At 40.2% G+C, this 21,788-nt stretch overlaps 1 protein-coding gene across 1 annotated transcript in view, besides 1 other annotated feature; it reads left to right on the forward strand.

Annotated features, from left to right (window-relative positions):
- Window positions 1-21,788, forward strand: part of FRAS1 (Fraser extracellular matrix complex subunit 1) — a 486,947-nt gene that overhangs the window by 404,780 nt on the left and 60,379 nt on the right. The window contains exons 48-58 of the mRNA NM_025074.7: window positions 1,919-2,043; window positions 2,341-2,481; window positions 4,106-4,333; window positions 7,876-7,989; window positions 10,078-10,228; window positions 11,336-11,495; window positions 13,336-13,504; window positions 15,713-15,959; window positions 17,272-17,616; window positions 19,702-19,862; window positions 20,286-20,433. Coding sequence (NP_079350.5) covers window positions 1,919-2,043; window positions 2,341-2,481; window positions 4,106-4,333; window positions 7,876-7,989; window positions 10,078-10,228; window positions 11,336-11,495; window positions 13,336-13,504; window positions 15,713-15,959; window positions 17,272-17,616; window positions 19,702-19,862; window positions 20,286-20,433 — 1,989 coding nt within the window. The remainder of the gene's footprint in view (window positions 1-1,918; window positions 2,044-2,340; window positions 2,482-4,105; window positions 4,334-7,875; window positions 7,990-10,077; window positions 10,229-11,335; window positions 11,496-13,335; window positions 13,505-15,712; window positions 15,960-17,271; window positions 17,617-19,701; window positions 19,863-20,285; window positions 20,434-21,788) is intronic.
- Window positions 18,994-20,193: an enhancer, noted in NCBI's record as "CDK7 strongly-dependent group 2 enhancer chr4:79402250-79403449 (GRCh37/hg19 assembly coordinates)". NCBI's record gives its function as "activates an origin of replication core promoter dependent on BRD2, BRD4, P300/CBP, MED14 and CDK7 cofactors, with strong dependence on CDK7, by STARR-seq in HCT116 cells {active_cell/tissue: HCT116}" and the evidence as "EXISTENCE:reporter gene assay evidence [ECO:0000049][PMID:35650434]".

Consider the following 21,788-nt stretch of genomic DNA (forward strand, 5'->3'; position numbering starts at 1 on the left):
CATGCTTGTAATCCTCTAGCACTTTGGGAGGCCGAGGCAGGCGGATCACCTGAGGTCAGGAGTTAGAGACCACCCTAGCCTGGCCAACATGGCGAAACCCAGTCTCTACTAAAAATACAAAAATTAGGCAGGGATGGTGGCGTGTGCCTGTAATTCCAGCTACTTGGGAGACTGAGGCAGGAGAATCACTTGAACCTGGGAGGTGAAGGTTGCAGTGAGCTAAGATTGTGTCACTGCACTCCAGCCTGGGCAACAAAGTGAGACCCTGTCTCAGAAAACAAAAAAAAAGAAAAAGAAAAGAAAAAGAAATTGCACACTGTCTATATATGTAATTTATTATGTGTCAATTTTACCTCAATAAAAAATGTTTAAAAAAATCAATCTCAAGAGGAAGGCAAAATCTATCACCTTTCTTAATCAGTCTTAGACTTCCATAAAGGGAACAGTGAATTAGGTGACCAGTTGATGGTGAGAATCCAGATGAGATTTTCCTGTGAGCTGTGAGAGTGGATTCACAGCAGGGGGAAGAGATTTAAATTTCTCAGTGCAGCAAGTCTGAAGTTGTTAAATTTTTAAAGAATGGTATGGATTTCTGTCCAGAGCCAAAAGACAAAGCTATAAGACAGGGTGCAACATTTCTTGCCTGTCAAGAACTGATGTAGCAAGCACAGAAACATAAAATGCCTCATCAAAAAATTAATGCCCCCATATTCGGGAGGCTCTTGTATCTGGGTGACAAATTTCAGATGATAAGGAGAGATGCAAATGTAAACCATGTGTGTTGATTTTTTTTAACTTCTTAAAGATAAAGCAGTGATACTGATGTCACCCTTAAATATATGAGTCAATGTAGAATCTTTATTTTCTTTGTAGGTTAACAATGACAAATCACCAAACCCAGAAAACAGCAAATCAATTTCAGGGCCAAACTAAAGGACTAGATTAAATGGATTAATACCTCAAAACCCAGAATCAGAAAGAGAGAATTTGTGCTGGAGGATTAAAAGATGTCATTTTCGTTTCAGTCTTGATTGGCACCTGGGTATGAGCCCTAGCAGCCCTAAGACAGAAGCAACAATTTCAAGTTGTTTTGCTAAATGTTGTGAGGCATTTAAAGCAGAGATATTGCACATTTGTGGGATAGTTTACCATTGTTTAAAATTTCTTTCAAATTTTTTGTTTTAAAAATGACTGGAATGAAATAAATAGAGAAAAATTAATAGAGAAAAAATGATTTTTTCTCTATTATGTTATTAAAGGATATTGTTTTTCCAGGTCATTTTTGATTTGGTGTGGAATAATTGCTCATGCCCCAGAGTCAGGCGGTAAGTTTTGTTACTGCCTGACTGGCTAAAGTGGGATGGGAGAAGCTAGAATCGTAGACCTGAGAGTTAAAAAGAACCTTGAAGAATATTCAATAAAATTATGGCAGCCAGGGATGGCTCACCAATCACAGAAACAAGGCTGTGTGTAGCCAAGCCCTGTAACGTTAGTTTAAAAGCTAAACCATTATGCAATATTTAAAATGAGGGTAGGTCTTCAGAAAGGACTGTGAAGCTTGGGGGAACACAAAACTGAACAGAGAGGGGCTTGGAGAATAAGACAATGGCTCTACCTTTCACAAATTTTACCTACATACATAAAACCCAAGAAAAAGAAGAGTAACATTGATTGAACACCTGCTGTTGGCTTTGCGCATAGAAGCCACCATAATTAAGTTAACATGTGTTCCCACAGAATATATGCTGTTGTATCCACAAACAACTCTAACAACAAGGTCCTCAAGTGGAGGAAATAAATGCTATAAGAAAAATACAAAGGACTCTCTATCTGGTGAGAGTATGACACTTCCCTAGCCTTAGATATATGGCTAGCATTTTAATATCCTGTCTCTGTTTCTCTTTTCCCCTTTTTCTAGGTATCCAGATTAGTTCCTTTACTCAAGCTGATCTGACTTCACGAAATGTTCAGTATGTCCATTCTAGTGAGGCTGAGAAACATTCAGATGCCTTCAGCTTTACACTGTCTGATGGAGTCAGTGAGGTAGGTGAGGCACTGAACTCCATCCTTGAAAAGTATTGATTCCTCGCCATCTTCTTTGAGTGGAGTAGGCAGAGTGACTGGTGAGAGAAGAGCTTCATTTTCCTCTGCTCTCAGTCAAGGGGTAGGGGCAGCCTCTGTAGCCACCTTGGCTCTTGCCCAAGAGGACTCACTCTGGGGCTCCTAATTATTGACTTGTGCAAGCAATGTGTGAAAGAGAAAAGTAGAGAGCACCTACCTTGGACTTGTTGGGTAGGTGCTAGGGACAGGTGTCCCACCTGCACTTTCCTGCCATTCTAGGTGACTCAGACTTTCCATATCACTCTTCACCCTGTCGATGATTCGCTGCCCGTCGTACAGAACTTAGGAATGCGGGTGCAGGAGGGCATGAGGAAGACCATCACAGAGTTTGAGCTTAAGGCGGTGGATGCTGACACAGAGGTAAGAGCACTTCTTCCCATGGGTTCTCTGGCTAAATGAGAGGCTGACCTGGTGGCAGCTATCACGTTGCAGCTGTGCATCCTGATGGTAGGGAGGAGCTGTAAGGTGAGTGCAAGCATCCTTGAAGGATTAAAATACAGAAGATACCAGGGCCTTCTGGAAAAGAAAAACAAATGTATTTGAGATCAAATTGTTTTTAAACCCTTTCTGAAAACCTAAATACATCCATCCTCTCCCTTGAGTACATGTAACAATACTTTTAACATGCTGATTTTGTATTGATTTACAGAAAACCAGGTAGATGACATTTTACCCAATGTTATTATTTCCCATTAGCATGAACAGGGATTTTCTATACCTATATACCCTTTCTCCCTTTCACCTCCTTCATCCGGACTTCTCTGATGGCAACTAATTATTACAATTTGAGCCTCCTCAAAGACTAGGCTTTGTGCAGTAAAACAGGGCATGTGGAGACTAAGCTTTTATTCTCATGCTTCCAGATTAAAGCATCTCACATTCTGACATGACTTAGCTCACATAAACTCATACTGCCACACTTATTAATTAGTTCTATGTATCCCCTTCTCTGTGCCAGCACTCATTGATTGATTGATTCTTTCATCAAATATTAATTACCTATGAGGTTCTAGGCTCTGCTGTAGATGCCGAAGACAGGGCTGTAACAAAACAGATAAATTTGCAGGCTTAGAGAGTCTACTATCTTTGTTTGGGGGAAAGACTTACTAGTAAAGAAAGAAGGAACATATTATATCAGATACAATAAGTGCTATGCAGAAAAATAAAGGGAGATGAGGGAGATAGAGATTGATAGATATGCTGCTTTAGAGTATCCAGAGAAGGCCTCTCTGAGGAGGTCATACTTTAGCAAAGACATTATTAAGCAAAAGGGCAAGCTATGCAGTTATCTGGGAGAATTCACCCTTCAGACAGGGGAGCCAGAAATACAAAGGCACTGTGATCAAGTGCACTTAGACTCTGGGAATAACTGTAGCAAAGGTGGCAAGAGGCCAAGAGGCTGGAACCCATTGAACAGGCAGGAGAAAAGAATGAGACCAGAGAGGAACCCTGGGACTAGGTCACAGAGGGCCATGCTGGCCCTGGTTAGGCCTTGGCATTTTGTTTTAAGTTGGTGGGAAACCCTTGGAAAGCCTTGGGAAGGATTTTATGCCTCTTTTTCTTTCTGCGGGTCACCAGAGAAGCAGTAATTAAAAATGAGAAGCTAGCTTCTGTTGTGATGCATATGAAATTCTGTATATAAGAGTTTTGGGTAGATGTAGGGGAAGGAAATGAACAGTTTAAAAAGGTCTATTTTCTTTCATCTTGGTAGAGGTTAAAAATTCAGGCTTTCCCCCATGACCTGAAGAGAAGAAATTTAAATGTTTTAATCTTACAACTGAAGGTACCAGAATATAAGCGCAATTGTAGCAAACAGTATGGTCATTCTCTTTAGCTCTATCTTTGGTGTCTATAAAGAAAATACAGTCCTTACTTTATCAATGTCTTTGGGTTCTACTACCCTTGATCAGCAATTGGGCATCACTCACTCTTTTGGTTTCTGTTATGAGCTTCCCTCCCCTCTGGTATTTTGCCTTCCGGACAGGCCGAGTCTGTCACATTCACCATCGTGCAGCCTCCACGCCATGGCACCATCGAGCGAACCAGCAATGGGCAGCATTTCCACCTCACCTCCACCTTCACCATGAAAGATATCTACCAGAACCGGGTCAGCTACAGCCATGACGGCAGTAACTCCCTCAAGGACCGGTTCACCTTCACTGTTTCTGATGGGACAAACCCCTTCTTTATCATTGAGGAAGGGGGAAAAGAGGTGAGGGGTGAGGACACTGGAGGAGGTAGCCTAGCACTGCATGGCAGAGGCAGAACATGGAGTTTTACATCAAGCATACCATTGTTTGAGTTCTCGTTCTATCAGTAGCTAGTAGATTGACCTTGGGCAAATTACATTTCTAAGCCTCAGTTTTTCATCTGTAAAATGGACAGTAATTATCTGCTTCAAATAGTTGGTTTAAGGATCCAAGGAGGTAATCCACATAAAGTGCTTAACACCATTGACAAATAGTGCTCAATAAATGGTGATAGTTCTTGTTGTTAGTATTACTGTTATTTCTTTTTTCTTTTTGCCCATCCTTTACTCCTTAATTTTTCTTTCATCTGGTTTTTGAATAATATTGTATATCTCTAGATTGTTTTTCTCTTTTTGGACTAGGTCCCCTCAGCCTAACCAGAGTTTCTCAGTCTTTGAGAAATAGCAGTGGATAAGAGTGTGGTTTTTGCATCCAAAATATATTGATTTTTTAAAATAATTTTTTATTTTTAATTTTTGTGGGTACATAGTAGGTATATATATTTATGGGGTACATGAGATGTTTTGATATGGGCATACAATGTTTAACACTCATATCATGGAAAATGGTGTATCCATCCCTTCAAACATTTATCCTTTGTGTTACAAACAATCCAGTTATTCTCTTTTAGTTATTTTAAAATGCACAATTAAATTATTTTTGACATTAGTCATCTGTCATGCTAGCAAAAACTATGCCTTATTCATTCATTCTAACTTTTTTTTCTTACCCATTAACCATCTCTGCCCCCTTACTACTCTTCCCAGCCTCTGGTAACCATTCTTCTCCTCTCTCTCTCCATGGGTTCAGTTGTTTTGATTTTTAGATCCCATATATAAGTGAGAACATGTGATGTTTGATTGTGCCTGGCTTATTTCACTTAAGGGAATGGCCTCCCGTTCTATACATGTTGTTGCAAATGACTGAATCTCATTCTTTTTTATGGCTGAATAGTACTCCATTGTGTATATGTACCACATTTTCTTTATCCATTAATCTGTTGATGGACACTTAGGTTGCTTCCAAATCTTGGCTATTGTGAACAGTGCTGCAACAAACATAGGAGTGCAGATATCTCTCTGATATACTGATTTCCTTTCTTTTGGGAATATACCCAGCAGTGGGATTGTTGGATTGTATGGTAGCTCTATTTTTAGTTTTTTGAGGAACCTCCAAACTGTTCTCTATAGTGGTTGTGCTAATTTACATTCCCACCAACAGTGTATGAGGGTTCCCTTTTCTCCACATTCTCATTAGCATTTTTTATTACCTGTCTTTTAGATAAAAGCCATTTTAACTGGGGTGAGTTGACATCTCATTGTAGTTTTGATTTGCATTTCTCTGATGATCAGTGATATTGAGCGTCTTTTCATATGTCTCTTTTCCATTTGTATGTCTTCTTTTGACAAATGTCTATTCAAATCTTTTGCCCAATTTAAAATTAGATTATTAGATTTTTTCCTGTAGAGTTGTTTAAGTTCCTAATATATTCTGCTTATTAATCCCTTGTAGATGAGTAGATGGCAGATATTTTCACCCATTCCTTGGGTGGTCCCTTCACTGTGTTGATTGTTTTCTTTGCTGTGCAGAAGCCTTTTAACTTGATGTGATCCCATTTGTCCATTTTCACTTTGGTTTCCTGTGCTTCTGGGATAACACTTAATAAATCTTTGCTCACACTGATGTCCTAGAGAGTTTTCTTAATGCTTTCTTGTAGTAGTTTCATAGTTTGAGGTCTTAGGTTTAATTCTTTGGTCGATTTTGATTTGATTTTTGTATGTGGTGAGAGAGAGGGGTCCAGGTTCATTCTTCTGCATGTGTATCCTAAAAGATACTCATTTAATTTCCAGCCCTGTCATGTACAAACTGAATATACTTGTAAATCATTTAAACTTTCCAAGCCTCGTTTTCCCTATCTGTAAAGTGGAAGTGATACATATTCTCCTGATGTACATAAAGCACTAAGCCCAGTGCCTGGCACACAGGGAACATCAGATAAACTGAAGCTGTAAACATCATCATCATCATCATCATCATCATCATCATCATTTTAGAACCAGCTTGTGAAACCAGTAAAATGCTTTTCTCTTGAGGTTGTGCAACTGTCAAGCTTTACTTCCTAAAGGAATCGCTGTCTTCTAACATCCAGATATCCAGAAGAAATGTTGATTCCCCTTCCATTCCCTTGCCGCCATTTTTACTCATCCCTTTGTTTGTTAGCCAGCTCTCCTGTAGTTCATAAACCTCGCCTGGGAAAAACTTCAATTCTGGTGAAAGGTGGGCCTGGGGGCACCCCTACATCTGTGTCTGACCTGGGGAAGGCAGTTTTAGTGAGCGGCATATGTACACCTTTCTATACTTCCAGTATAACAAAAGGATCCACTTCTCAGGCCTGCACAGCTCCTTTTCTACTTTGACACTGAAGGATTATTTTCCTGGAAAAAAAGATCCTCTGTGTCCTTTAGAGACAAACAGTCTGTGAGAAGGTCATTCTCAGTTAGCTGGTATGTCGGTGGGATGGCTCTTGGGATTTTCCTGCCATTGCGGTGTCTGCACAGCATCACCACCTGGCAAGTCATCACTCTTGTTTTTTCTCTCCCAAACTGTAGCTGCTCCCCAGTTAGTTTGACTTTCAGAAGAGAAAAAAGATTTCAGGATATATCAGCAAGAGGGCTAATGCTCTTATAAACAAAATGTTACAACAGGTCTCTGGAGGGACGATGTCATTTAAAAAATGGAAATTATTTAGAAGGTGGCTTGTGGGAGATTGAAAAGCCAACGTCTCATTGCCCTGTGTCCCAACTTGCTGTATCCACCCAGGAACAGGGAGATGCTAGATCCAATTTATGATGTGTGTGTTGCATGCATGCATGTGTGTATCTGTGAGAATGGGATTATAAATGAAATTTCCTTTTCGCTATTACCACAAATGCTTTTATTTCTGATTTCTTCTGCCCCTCACCCTCATATAGAGAGCTCTCCCTTAAAACAGACAACAACAATGGGAAAAGGAAAAAAAAAGAAAATATCTTCCCATGAAAACCTCTTTCACATCTGGCATAATCCCACCTAGAAATTTCAACATTAACAATTTAATGATTATTTTTGTCAGCCTCTCATGAAAATTTTAACACGGTTTATTGAAAGGAAAAGTACTGTTTGGTTTTTTTTTCATCCCAAGGCAGTATCGAACTCAACTAAAGAAGACATAGGTGTGTAAAAACCAACTTCCATAGCAGGTGAAATGACAGCAAGAATGCCACTTGTTGTTGTTGTTGTTGTTGTTTTGTTTTTCCTTTTCTTCCTACATTGTTCTCACTCTATCATTCAGCTTTCTCCCTTAGGCCTTGTGCCAGGATGATAAGGGATGGGAACGGGCTCAGTTGCCCATCCCTCATCTCTGAAGTGTTAGCAGACTTCAGAGGTTACAGCTGTGTAGGCCCTGGACCTGACATACTTCAGGTACTTGTGAATGATGAGTTTTCTTTTCTGCCCTCCCCTTCAGATTATGACAGCAGCACCTCAGCCGTTCCGAGTAGACATCCTCCCGGTAGATGATGGCACGCCTAGAATTGTCACCAACCTGGGACTCCAGTGGCTGGAATACATGGATGGCAAGGTAAGGCCTGTCCCTCTGTCATGTTCACACCACCCAACTTGGGCTACATCCTTCTTCACGACAATGACTTATGAATAGAAGTCCAGTTCAGCTCACCTGTTTATCCCTCCCTAAATAAACTGATTTTCCTGAGATTAGTGAGCTCCGTGAGTTTGGTTAGGATAAACTTGTGTAGGATCGGTTACGATTGTGTATAGTTTAAGATGCTCTTTGAAAAGACCCCAAAATATAGTAGGTCAAGCTAGATAGAAGTTTATTTATTTTTTTCTCACATATAGGGTGGACGTAAGTGGGCAGTGCAGGGCTCTACATGAGCACTTAGAGATGTGGATTCCCTCCACCTTATTGTTCTGTCATCACTAAGTGGTTGCTATTGACTCCTGGCCAAACTTCTTCAGAAATTCATCAATATACAGTTGGCCCTCAGTATCCACAGGTTCCACATCTGTGGATTCTAACAACTGTGGCTCAAAAATGTTTGAAGGAAAAAAAATAAGAAATAATACAAATTTTAAAAATATAGTACAACAACTGTTTATATAGCATTTGTGCCATGTGAGGTATTATAAGTAATCTTGACTTAAAGTATACAGGAGAAAGTGTATAGGTTATATGCAAGTACTATGCCATTTTGTATAAAGGACTTGAGCATCCATGGATTTTGTAATCCTCAGAGAAGCCTAGAACCAATCCCCGTAGATACTGAGGGACAACTGTACCAGCATATGGGAAGGAGGAAACAGAAAGAGAGGGGCAAGGAACTCCATATTAAGCAAGTGATACAGAAATTGAATACATCCCTTGCACTCATATTTATTGGCAATAAATTGTTCATATGGCCCAAATGTTGCATGGGAGGCTGGGAAATAGCATCTCTAGCTGGGCAGGCAGAGGCTCAGCTAAAACATTGTTCACTAGAAGAAGGGGAGGGTGGATTTTGGAGAATATCGAGTGTCTACCATAAATGAGAAAGAAGCGGGGCATTTTTGTAGGTAAGTGTGCACAGATGAATTGTACTTTAGGCATTGCTTTCTCTTTCTCCTAATTTCGAAATTGGTCATTTTAAGATCTATGCCATAATTTTCACCTAGTAATCATGTCAAGCACTAAATCCACATCCCCACCCAAACATAGTTCTTCAGTTGAGAACTGGTTTCTTGCATTTGTGGGTGGTATTCTTTCTAGGATGTGGCTTGTTTACCATCTCCATGGAGCTAATTAGTTCATTGTATGTGTAGATGTTGCACTATAGCTTCTAATTGAACTGGTTGGGTTTTAAAAAAAACAAACAAACATGAATTAAAGTTAGTGCCAATTTCCCCTGTGCTCTATTTGATCTTTTTTCCCCACCTTATTTAGAGCAATTCCATTCTCTTCTCAATACTCTCCAATTGGGTTTCTACCCCCTACTCCTACTCTATTGCAGTAACTGTTATTAAAGTCACCAATGACCTCTATTTTGCCAAATCCAGAGACCAATTATCTGTCTTTACCTTACTAGACCTAAAAAAATCTTCAATGCTCTTGACCACCCTCTTTCTTTGCTCAAATCTTGGCTCTCACTAAATACTTCAATGAATGAATGAATGAAAGTTCAGCCAGTGTATTTGGGCAATATCAGGGTACAGTGTGTTTCTCTTACTCTATTTCAAGTATCATAATTGACTCCTAGAAAGTGGCCACCTTCCCTGTACTGAATTATTCTTTCAAAGTTCCAACTTTCTTTCAAGGCCCAACTCAAATCCCACTGCCTCCAATCCATCCTCCTTCAACTCCAGATGAAATTAATCTTTTTCTCTCTCTCTCTTTCTCTTAAAAAGTGTGCAGCCCTCTTTTTATGTCTTCCATTACAGCTCTTGCCACATTGACCTTGTGCATGAGCCTTTCTTTCCCTATTAAGTGTGAATACCTCAAGGGCAGAAGCTGGAATGGTTTTCATCCTCATAGCCTCTCCAATCCTGACAGAGCTTTCCATGCAGTAAATACACTCAGTAAATCATTGTTGAACTGAATTAAATCTGAGTCAGAGGGTCTTGTTCCTGCTTTATTCCCACCTCAGGAATTAAATTAAATGGGTTTCTATTCTAGGCAACCAACCTGATCACCAAGAAGGAACTGCTGACCATGGACCCAGACACCGAGGACGCGCAGCTTGTCTATGAGATAACGACGGGCCCTAAGCATGGCTTTGTGGAGAACAAGCTGCAGCCTGGCAGAGCTGCTGCCACTTTCACCCAGGGTGGGGACTCTCTGGGAACTTAGAAATGGGAGAAATCTATGCTAATGTCACACTGCCTATCTCCCAGATTCTTCTCACAGCCACTTCCAGCTACTTATGCCCAAGTAACCACTTTGCAGAGATCTTCTAGTGCTTAACCATCCAACTTAAGAATTTTATTTCTCCTGATTTTTTTCCCTGTGATGATGAACTATGGCAAAGAAAAATTCACCTTTACCGTGCTTCCTCAACTCCTAAATTGCTCTAAGTGTTGGCCAGGTTTTCTGGAAAAGAATGCATGATGCTGCTTGGTTTTCTTTAAAAACAATAACAACAAGAAAGCAAAAAATAACAAGCAGACATTATGAAAGATCTGTGATCCTGTGTGATTTATTTTTTGTTCTCTAAGGATTATAGACTTTAAGTCTTCAGCCTAGAAATTAAAATCAACATGTATAGGTTGCTCAACAGAAATATTTTCCCTGTTTTGAATCATCTCAAGCAGGCCATGTTAAGCTTGTCAGGCTCCTCTAGACTTTTTTCAGGATTGACTTGACTGGGAGCAGTCATTGCAAAACTGCATCTCAAAATTCATGCTCCATGAATTTTCTTTTTACTCTCTGTCCTCAATTGTATGTTCTCTCCTCACACCTTTTTAGCTGTGCTTTGTGTATGGGAAGTTTTAACCCAACCCCAGCTATTCTTATTAGCACATACCTTCCAAAGAACCTTTATTAGAAGGAATTAGGTCTGAGTATGAGGCTATAAACACAGAGGATGGAGTCAAAGACTTTCCTCTGTCAACTCTAGGATTTGCCATCAACATTCACAGACATTTATTGAAGTGCTTTTTGTCAGGACCCTGGGATTCTCATTTTATAACAGCATAAGAGATATTTACAATATCTCTGTACTTAAAGACAGATCTTTTTTTTCACAGAGCTTCAGGATTTTATTTTAAAATCTGACAGAAACATTTATTTTAACAACTACTATACTTTTGGTGCTTGGAAAAATAAGTTTTGTCTGTAATACATTAGAAGAATAAACTAGGTTTGTTGGTGTGGTAATCTATGAAGCTGTCGTTACATCCCTGGGTTAATTCACAGTGAGTCTTTTTTCTCACAGAGGATGTGAACTTGGGGTTGATTCGTTATGTGTTGCACAAGGAGAAGATCCGTGAGATGATGGATAGTTTTCAGTTTCTGGTGAAAGACAGTAAACCCAATGTGGTCAGCGACAATGTCTTCCATATCCAGTGGTCACTCATCAGCTTTAAATATACCAGGTACAAGTTTTACTGTGCTTTCCTTCTTGAGAAATCAATCAGGCAAGCAGAGGGAGTCAGGATGAAGGATGCTGGGGGGCAGCTCTAGTCACCTCTTGATGGCGGTGATGGTGATGATGGCAGTGATAAAAGTAATAATTTCACCAAATATTTATTGAGTACTGTATGTATTAGGTGCTGCACTAGGACTCGACATGCATCATCTTATATAATACTTGGAATTCTGAGATGAATTCCATTCCTGTCTCCACAGTGGCAAAGTAATAGAGACAGAAACTTGTTTATGTAACTTGTCCACAGTCACATAGCTAATAAGAAGTAAGACCAGGATGTAAGCCCAGTGATCTTAACGATGTGCTCTACTGCTGCTCAGACAAATGTTTTTGCTTCTGTCTCTTCAAGTTTTAGAAGAGAGTCTAGTAGAACTGATAGGAAAAATAAAAATAGGCATTCAAGTTTGGAAAATAATCACTGGCCCACACTATCAATATCTTCACCTTCCATCTGTATTCTCCTTGTTCCCAACCCTGTTTTCTCCCCTGGCTTCTTTGGGTTTGGTAGGAATGTATATCTGTAGGGCTAAATGCATGGCTTAATGTGGACAGCCCTTTAAGATGCTTTTCTAATCTGTTGGAGAGTTAGAAAGGCAAACAGAGAGATACTGATTGTTAAAGGTAGTGTGCAAGCATGGTGCTGATTTTATAGGTTAGATTATAACTAGGATTATAATTTATGTGGGGGAAATATTCTTTAAGTCTACATTTCAGAGACTCACTATCCAAGAAATCAACTTCATGAAAATTCAGATAAAAATTGGAACTTGGGGGAAAAAAGGAAGACTTAAAACCTTGATTTCATGTGCCCCAAATTCAGGCTATTCTACTCTTACACACATTTGGAGAATTAGAGGAAAATTAGAATCAACTTTTACATATGTAATGTTTTGCTGTTATTTACCTCTCAATTGTATCACCTTCAAAATTCAATAAATTCAATAAAATTCATCCCTTTTTCTGGACAACCCTCTAACATTTAATGGACTAAGTGGTATAGACGGTCCCAAAGCTGGCAATGAGGACTGAGCTCTCAGAGTCACTTTCCCTGCTGTCCTCACAGCAACAAGACATGCACCCAGGTCTAGGGGCCATCCTCAGTGGTGAAAAACAAAGCCCAGCTCATGCCCTACTTTCTGTGGCCTTTCCAAACCTAGATACTTATTATGAATCAATAGCATATGAATAGTTGGCCTTCTACTTTACAAATGCAATAGAGATTCTGAGCAGCAAGCTAAATTAATCATGTCCTTCCCCCATTGTCATAAAGTTCTATTTGTCTAAACATCTCTGTTATGTAGGCTTACCTCACATTTTCTTACCTCTGCTTCTGCTCTGACTCCATCACACAGTTCCTGGAGATCTGGTCCAGTCAGTTCCCACCTAAGTCATTGATTGCCTTCAGAGCAGCTTTCTTCCCTAAGAACCCACTGACCTATTGTGATTACTCAACCCCAGGAGGGAGAGATTGTTTTTCCTTTCTCTGTGCCCTGAAATCTGAAGTTCATTGCTCCTATGTGCTGTCCATCTCCCAAAATGACTCTTAGCTTGCTTGCAAAGCAGGGAAGACGACATTCTGCATCCACAGCTTCCCTGTTTGTTTCGTGCTCTGATTGTTCAGGTGAACTCATTCCCTCAATTTACAGCCTGGATTCTTAGAGGAACCAAACTTCCTCTTCTCTGACTACCTAATGCCAAGAACCAAATGGAAGAGACAGGCATTAAACAAGTTGTTTTTTCATAACCATGGGGCATAGTTTAAGAGATGCCTTTTTGTGTGCTTCCAGCTACAATGTCAGTGAGAAGGCAGGGTCTGTCAGTGTCACGGTGCAGAGGACTGGGAACCTGAACCAATATGCCATCGTCCTGTGTCGCACCGAGCAAGGCACCGCCAGCTCCAGCTCCAGGGTCAGCTCCCAACCTGGGCAACAGGACTATGTAGAGTATGCTGGCCAGGTAGGTGGGGTAGTGGGGTTGGGGGAGGCTCCAGCAAGGGCTGTGACATGGCTGCAAGCAATTGTGGCACTTTCCTACTTCTTCCCAACTTTGCTTTTCACTGGTGTCCTTCTTCAAGTATTAAATAGTTTTCCTATGTTCCCCTCCCATAGTACTTTGTTCTTCACAGTCTCTCTAACCTCCATTGAAGTTTTAACTGCCAAAGGGGAAGTTGTTGTCTAGCTTCTCAGTCTTTACATTTTGCTTCATGACAAAAAGAAGTCTCCAAGCATCATGTTCTATATTCAGCTTTGGTATCCCAACCGTTCTTCTCCTCTCACCTTCTTTACCTAAAGGGAGAGAAGAGAGTGTGTAAGGAGACTGGTTGGGAATCCCTTGGGGTAGGCTGGCTGAGATGATGGGAGCTTGGGCTTCGATTATGAAGTGAAGTTTGAGAGAAGCGGATGGATTTGACAGATGAGTGAGAATTGATAGGATTTGGCAGTGGATTGATTAGACAGTGGGGCCATTTGAAAGATGGATGATGATGCCTCTTGCTAGGAAGGGACATATAAGAGGAGCCGGTTGGGCAAGGTTTGGTGCTCGTGACTTTGCTTTGGCTATGTTAGGTATAAATTGTCTTAGAAAGAGCAGGTTGACCACTGTATAGATGGGCAGGCAGTGCAGAGAGGAGTCTGGTGTCCAGAGAGAAATTTGCAAGTCATCTACATACCAGTGGTAATTAAAGGTGGCAATGAGAAAGAAAAAGGAGAGAGTGAAAGTGGAAGAGAAAGGAGGACTTAAATAGTCAACTTAAATAGTCAACAAATACAGGGCCCCATGTATTTGTCATCTTTTATGGAGGGCACAATGTCTGACACTTAATTTTTTTTTCAAAGCAACTTTATTGTTATTATGGCAACACAGATCTCTGTAAAGAGAAGTGGGCTCTGTTCTTTAATTGAGGCATTTCAGCTGGACTAAGCTAATGTCTCTAATGTCAAATGTAAGTGAGGAATTAGGAAAGAACAGATAAGCTAATGTCTTTCAGCTAAATGATAAGACGGAGGATATTCTTGTGTTTTTCAGGGAAAGACAGAAGACTGTCAGTGTATTCTAGATCTTACATAAAGATCTGTTGAGTGTTTCATTTCACTGGGAGTGTTTTAAAATATGAAGCTTAATAAAAGTGTTATTAGTTGATTAGATATATACTAATAATTTTCTGTTTGAGTAAAATTTTTGCAGATTTGTGTGTCCCCAGACATTTATGTCTGTTTTTTGTACATATTTCAGTTATCTCCGTTTACACAAAGTATAGTCCAGGCTCATTTCCTGCAGTTTCAGTTTTGGGCAAGTCCATAGTCGTGGTTTCACTTGAAGATTTTTAATTTCTTTCTTTTTAAAAAAAAAAAAAAACAAAGTAAAACCAGAATAAGTCCCTATAAGTTCACAATTGTGTACATATAAAATAATTTCTCTGTTTTGTACTGGGCTAAATTGATTCACATTTTAATGGCAAAGGGTGTAGTCAAAATATCAAGTTAAAATTAGTCTACCTTGTTTATAATGTAATTTTCTATGAATTTAAATTCCATTATTCAGTACACTGGAATTCTATGTCAATTTTAATTGTGTAAGTAATATGGTGATACTAATGATAATATCTTATGTTTGTTTGGTACTTTAAAATACACTTAACACCTTCATATACAAGACCTCCTTTAGTCCTCCCAAGAAGCGTATGAGGTAGGAATATTATGACTTTTCTTTAGTTGATGAGGAATCTGATGTTTGTAAAGCTTCATAACCTAATACAGCTTGGAAGTAACAGAACCAGATCTGAGAACAGAACTTCATACTCCAAGGCCAGAGTTCTTCCAGAAAGGGAACTGAGTCATCAAATGATGACTGTTGCTGCCCCAAGTGAGATAATAAGACAGGCTATAAAGAGTTACTACATGTTTTTCTCCAGTCACCAATGGTAGGAGAGATTTTGCTCCTTCATGTCCTTATACAATAAAGCAGCCCTCCTGTACAGGTTAAGAATGGGAAGAGGTGGCTGGGTGTTCCAGGTGATGCAGCAGGGAACCAGGGCTGGGAGAACCAGCTATTTCAGTCAGTGCTCTGCCCACTGGACTTGGATGCTCTTTTCCTATGATGCCCTGGGGAAGCAGAGCAGGGGAAGCTGAGGCACAGCTTAACTTCTTGTTGGTTCCTTTGTGACAGGTCCAGTTTGATGAGCGAGAGGACACCAAGTCCTGCACCATTGTCATCAACGATGATGACGTGTTTGAAAATGTTGAGAGTTTCACTGTGGAGCTCAGCATGCCAGCTTATGCCCTGTTAGGGGAATTCACCCAGGCGAAGGTCATTATCAACGATACCGAGGATGAACCCACATTAGAGTTTGACAAGAAGATCTACTGGGTTAACGAGAGCGCTGGTTTTCTGTTTGCACCTATTGAAAGAAAAGGTCTGTTGGTTCCACAGGTGACAAAGAGCTATAATAATTGCTAACATTTATTGAGTTCCTATTATGTGCTAAGCACTCATCTCATGCATTATCTTAACTCACATGTGTACTTTCCACTTATTAACTCATTTGGTTCCCACAACAACCCTGATGATGATTCTATCCATAGTGACTACCATCAGAAAGCCTCTTTTCTTAGTTCAAGTTGTTAGAGCTCCCATTTACTCTTAAATTGGACTAGAAGACTGGTTATATTTAGCCTTCTAAATTATTCATGAATCAGTATTCTTAATCAATCACCCAATCCATAAAATATTTAGTAACCTTGGTCAAGGAGGGAAGTTACAGTTCATAAGGACTGGCTTTCCATCTTATTCTTGGAAGACAGAAATATGCTGAAAATTTCCCTATGTGACAGTCATATGTAGAGCTCAGATGAGAAATAAACTATGTGTAAGAAATAAAGGGCAATTCTTTTTTTGTTTTATTTTTGACTGATACATAGTAATTGTGCATGTTGATAAAAGGGCAATTCTTGAGGAGTTGGAAATAAAAATAAACATCATATGGAATTTTGATTGTGCAAGATTGAGACTTTAAAACACATGGAAATTGAACCCCCATTCAAAGGCACAACAAGACTGTAAATGATGATTTTGGGTTTCTTTCTTGAATCTGCTGACTGGGTATTAGTGTAACAAATACTGTAGATAGCAAAAACCCTTGGTAATGCCACTTGGAAAACAAGCAAGCCTCATTGATTGCTCTGGGCCACCAAGCCAGGCCCAGAACAGGCTGTCACCAAGGGAAGTGGCAGCCCTAATAAGTAAAGTCATTTGTATACAGTGGCAGATTTTATTTTGTTTTGTCTTTCTCTTTTTAAATAAGCCTGTTTCTTTCTGGGAATTAAAGTATAGAAGTTTATTCAGAAAGGCAGTGAACTGTGCTTATAGCACTACCTTCAGGACACAATTACTTTCCTACTTAAAGTACCAAATATGTGTCATATCTTTCCACCTGCTGTGGTCTTAGATGGTGGGCAATGAGTCTTGCAAATTAACAGAGCACAAAATTCACAGAATAGGAAATCCATTTTGAGTTGTTTGATGAAGTATCTGGGGTATATTAAATCCTCAAGTGGTTTATACCACAGGCTCAAAGAAACTGCAATTCAGGAAGGTTTTATGTCAGAGTTTGAACAGAAATAGTGATGGACTGTTTGGGAGGGACCAAGCTCATTAACTTACCAGAGGTTTTAAAATCTGAGAAGCACTCATTCAAATGCTTTGGTTTTTTGCCATTTGTATTTCAGGAGATGCAAGCAGCATTGTATCTGCAATTTGCTACACAGTCCCTAAGTCAGCTATGGGAAGTAGCCTCTATGCTCTAGAATCAGGCTCTGATTTTAAATCTAGAGGGATGTCTGCCGCGAGTCGTGTGATATTCGGGCCTGGTGTGACCATGTCCACCTGTGATGTCATGCTTATTGATGACAGCGAGTATGAAGAGGAAGAAGAGTTTGAGATTGCCTTGGCAGATGCCTCTGACAATGCCCGCATTGGAAGGGTGGCGACAGCCAAGGTGCTCATTAGTGGTCCCAACGATGCCTCGACTGTGTCCCTGGGCAACACGGCTTTCACTGTCAGTGAGGACGCAGGTAATGGAGAGTGTCTCTGAGTTTCCTTCACCTGTCTCCTGATTCCTTTCTTGAGCAGTTTTCTCCTTAGGTTTCAGAATATCCGGGAGACATTGAGAATGCCATTCCTCAGGGATACCACTGTTGGTCTAAGGCACTATATAATGCTTGGCCAAGACCAAGCATGGAATTTATTATAGAGAGTTCCATCCACTTTTCTTACTCTGATTTGTTTTAGTAAATTTTTGTGGGTACATAGTAAGTGTATATATTTATGGATTATATGATATATTTTGATACAGGCATGTAATATATAATAATCACATCAGGATAAATGGGGTGTTCATCACCTCACCTCAAGCATTTATCCTTTGTGTTATGTACAATCCAATTATACTCTTTTAGTTATTTTAAAATGTGCAATTAAATTATTTTGACTATAGTCACCCTGTTGTGCTAGGGAATACTAGGTCTTCTTTCTAAGTATTTTGTGTACCCATTAACCATGCCCACTTCCCCCCTCCACCACCATTTCCCACCCCCACTACTCTTCCCATCCTCTGGTAACCATCCTTCTACAACATGGATGGAAGTGGAGGTCCTTATGCTAAGTGAAATAAGCCAGGCACAGAAAGACAAACTTCACATGTTCTCACTTATTTGTGGGAGCTAAAGGTTAAAATCATTGAGGTCATGGAGATAGAGTGTAGAAGGTTTTACTCTGGTTCTTGATGGCAGGCAGGGCTGTGGCATAGAGCCTAGAGCTTCATGGGCTGACCTCTGTGGTCCAGAGGGAGGGCCTGGCACTGAGCATCTGGGCTTGTGAAAGGGGAGAATGTGATATATTGAGGATGGAAGTGAAGTATTTAGTGTACTGCTAGCTCCTGAACACTCTCCAAAGTTTCAGTGTCTTCATACAGTGAAACTTTCTCATTCATGTAAGAGCCCAAAGCGATCAGTGGGCAGGTCACTTTCACATGGTATTTCAGAGACTCAGGCTCCTTTCCCACTTGTGGCTCCACAAAGGTCTTGAAGTCTTATGTATGCTGCAGGCAGATATACTGCTGGCAGAGGGGCAACAGCTGTGCTGAGTGTCTCCTGATCTGGGCCAGATCAAGGCCTTTCACATCTATGAAGGGATTTGGAGGAGCACTGGGAACAGGTATTTTTGAGCACTTACCGAATGCCGGGCACCATACCGTGCATGTTCCATGCATTCTCACTTAATATTCTATGGAAGAGAGAACATTATATAAAAGAGCAAATGGAGGCCTGGATAGGTTAAGTCAGTCATCAATGATTAAGCAGCTAATAAAATGGCAAGGCTAGATTCAAAGCCAGACCTTTCTACTATAGCATGTTTCTTTTCCCATACAGCAAATGCCCAGCCATAACTACATTGCATCTCACAGCATGTTGGCTAGAAAATGTGGTGATTGAAAATTGTAGGGTTTTCATGAAGCTTTTCTCTGCCCTTGATTGTGAAAATAGCTAAATATCCTTAGGACACTACAAAGCATGATGTCACAGTGGACAGGAAGATGAGCTTCATTCCTAAGATGAGTAATAAGCACATGCGGTTTAAGTCATGACATGTGCTTGGGTAAAACAGAGAAATCAACTCAGTTAGGAACATTTAATTAGAAACATTCAGCTTCAGGCTCCATAGAGTCCCCTAGCTGGGTCCTCCTTAATTGACTATTTTCTGACACATCCCTGAGGCCCCAGGCTCTAAGTTTCTTCTCCCTAAATAGGCTTGAGATGTTTTGCAATAGACCCTTCTCTCCTTAAGTGCATTGTTCTCCTGTGAGCAGTCTCCCTTGTGAAGCCACAACAGCCTTCTCCCCTAAGGGCTCTCTCCAGCACCATCTCCATGAAGCCCTTCTCTAGGTCTCCTCTTGATCCTAGTGTCAGTGAAAAGACAGGTAGTGACACCTCTAGGCCTTCACCTCAGATGGGCCATAGGAGCATCACTGAAGCTAGATTAGAAAAGCTCAAAGGGCTAAAAGCTGCCACTATTGCAGTGAGGGAGAACATCATTCTGAAAACCTCGCTGATTTTCTGGCTCAAAGTTGACCATTAAAATCTCTATGAATCTTAATTCAGGCACAGTAAAGATTCCAGTTATCCGCCATGGTACTGACCTCTCTACTTTCGCATCTGTCTGGTGTGCAACGCGGCCCTCAGACCCAGCTTCTGCCACACCAGGAGTTGACTACGTTCCCAGCTCTCGGAAGGTGGAATTTGGGCCTGGTGTCATTGAACAGGTGCGTTTACAGCAGTCGAGACTCCACAAAGTTGACAGGTCGGTTTGTGAATGTTGTCTTTAGTTTGCTTCCCAAGCTCTCTAAACTCCCCTGGCGATATTCCTATCTTTCCTTTCTTTAAAAACACACATACATAAACAAGAGAGTTAACTTAGGAGGGGATCTTCTAAAAACTCTCCTAGTGACATTTTTAGCATCAAATATCCAGCCTTACAGATTCAGGATATAAACTATACTCATTTGATATAAACATCTAAAAACAAACTCCGAGTGGCATGTAATAAAGAGATCATCATGTTATGGATTAGAAAATCTTACTTTAAAACCACCAAAGACAGGCAAGTTGTGACCTTTGCCCTAGTCAAGGTAAATGGGTGTTAGATGGTGGGTCCTCTGTCAAGTTTGCTTTGGTTTCTCTTCTAGTATTGCACCTTGACTATCTTGGATGACACTCAGTATCCGGTAATTGAAGGACTGGAGACATTTGTGGTTTTCCTCAGCTCAGCACAAGGAGCCGAACTGACCAAACCCTTCCAGGCAGTCATTGCAATTAATGACACATTCCAAGATGGTAAGAGATTGGGGATGCCAGCTGGTAGGTCCAAATATATTTCTATTTTTTCTTTAACGTCCACATATGTGACATTGGAACTCATTCACATTTTCATTCAAGAAATATGTGTGTGTAGATGTGTATACGTGAGCATTTGCACTTTTACATAGCAGAGTATGTAGATGTGAGAGAGAACCATTGATGTCTCCGGTACTCTGCCAGACACAAAGAGATGTATAAGCCTTGGGCCCTGTCCTCAAGAAGCTCAGTGTCTCCCTGTGGAATCAGACCCTTAAAGAGAGAAATTGGAATAAATCATGATAAATGACCTAATAGTACTATACATCCAGCACTATGGGAGCAGAGGGAACTGAACAGGAACTACAAGTGGGGGAAATTATAGATTTCACCAAGGAGATTATATTTAAGCAGAGTCTTCAGGTGTGATAGGAGTCTATCTAATGCATAATAAAGGAAAACCTATTTCAAGTGGAGACATATAGTAAATACAATGTATAATGTGTTGAAAGATCCACATTTGGGGAACAGACCCTTACTTTTGCTTTGAGCATGGGAGGGGGTGAATAGAAGAATGGAATGGAAAGACAGATTGGAGTCAAGTTCTGAGAGGCATTGTGATCCAGCCTAAGGACTCTATAAGCAAAGGGTAGCAGTGGATGCTTATAAGCAGAGGAGTGATGTGCTTTTTTATTTTAGAAAGCGAATATTGGCAGTATTGTAGGTGATGTGCAGGGATGAATAGAGGCAGGTATATGAAGAAAATATCAGTCACTGCTGAAGATGTAACCTAAGTAGCATGAGGAAAAACAGGAAAGGATGGTTACTTCTCAGAAGAATTGACGAAATTAGAATTGTCAGAACTTCAGAATCCACTGTTTGGATACTAGGGTTTGGTGGAGAAGATCAAGTGAAACCTTCCACCTAAAGCAGCAGGACCCTCATTAGCATTCCCAGAGATTGGCCATAGAGCCCATGATTAAACTCCTAGCAGCTGAGAAGTCCTCAAAAGAGGAGCAAGAAGCCAAGTCGGATAATCTTTGATGTTTTTATTTATTCTTAAATCATTTATTTCATGTATATAGTAGTAAACAATTCAAATGGCAAAAAGCGTATACTATGAAAATTAAATCTTCTTTCTACCCCTATCTCCCAGTCTCCCAGTTCTCCTCACTGGAGACAACAATTTTAACCAGTTTTTTGTGTGTTTATCCTTCAGGAGAAAAAAAAAACTCTCTCTCTCTCTCTATATATATATATATAAAATTATGTATGTGTGATACACACACACACACATACAACAAACATACACATACTTGCATGCATCCAAAATGATAGTAATTTGTTTTAGAGCC

Source organism: Homo sapiens, chromosome 4 (assembly GCF_000001405.40).
Source record: "Homo sapiens chromosome 4, GRCh38.p14 Primary Assembly".
Classification (NCBI taxonomy): Eukaryota; Metazoa; Chordata; class Mammalia; order Primates; family Hominidae; genus Homo; species Homo sapiens.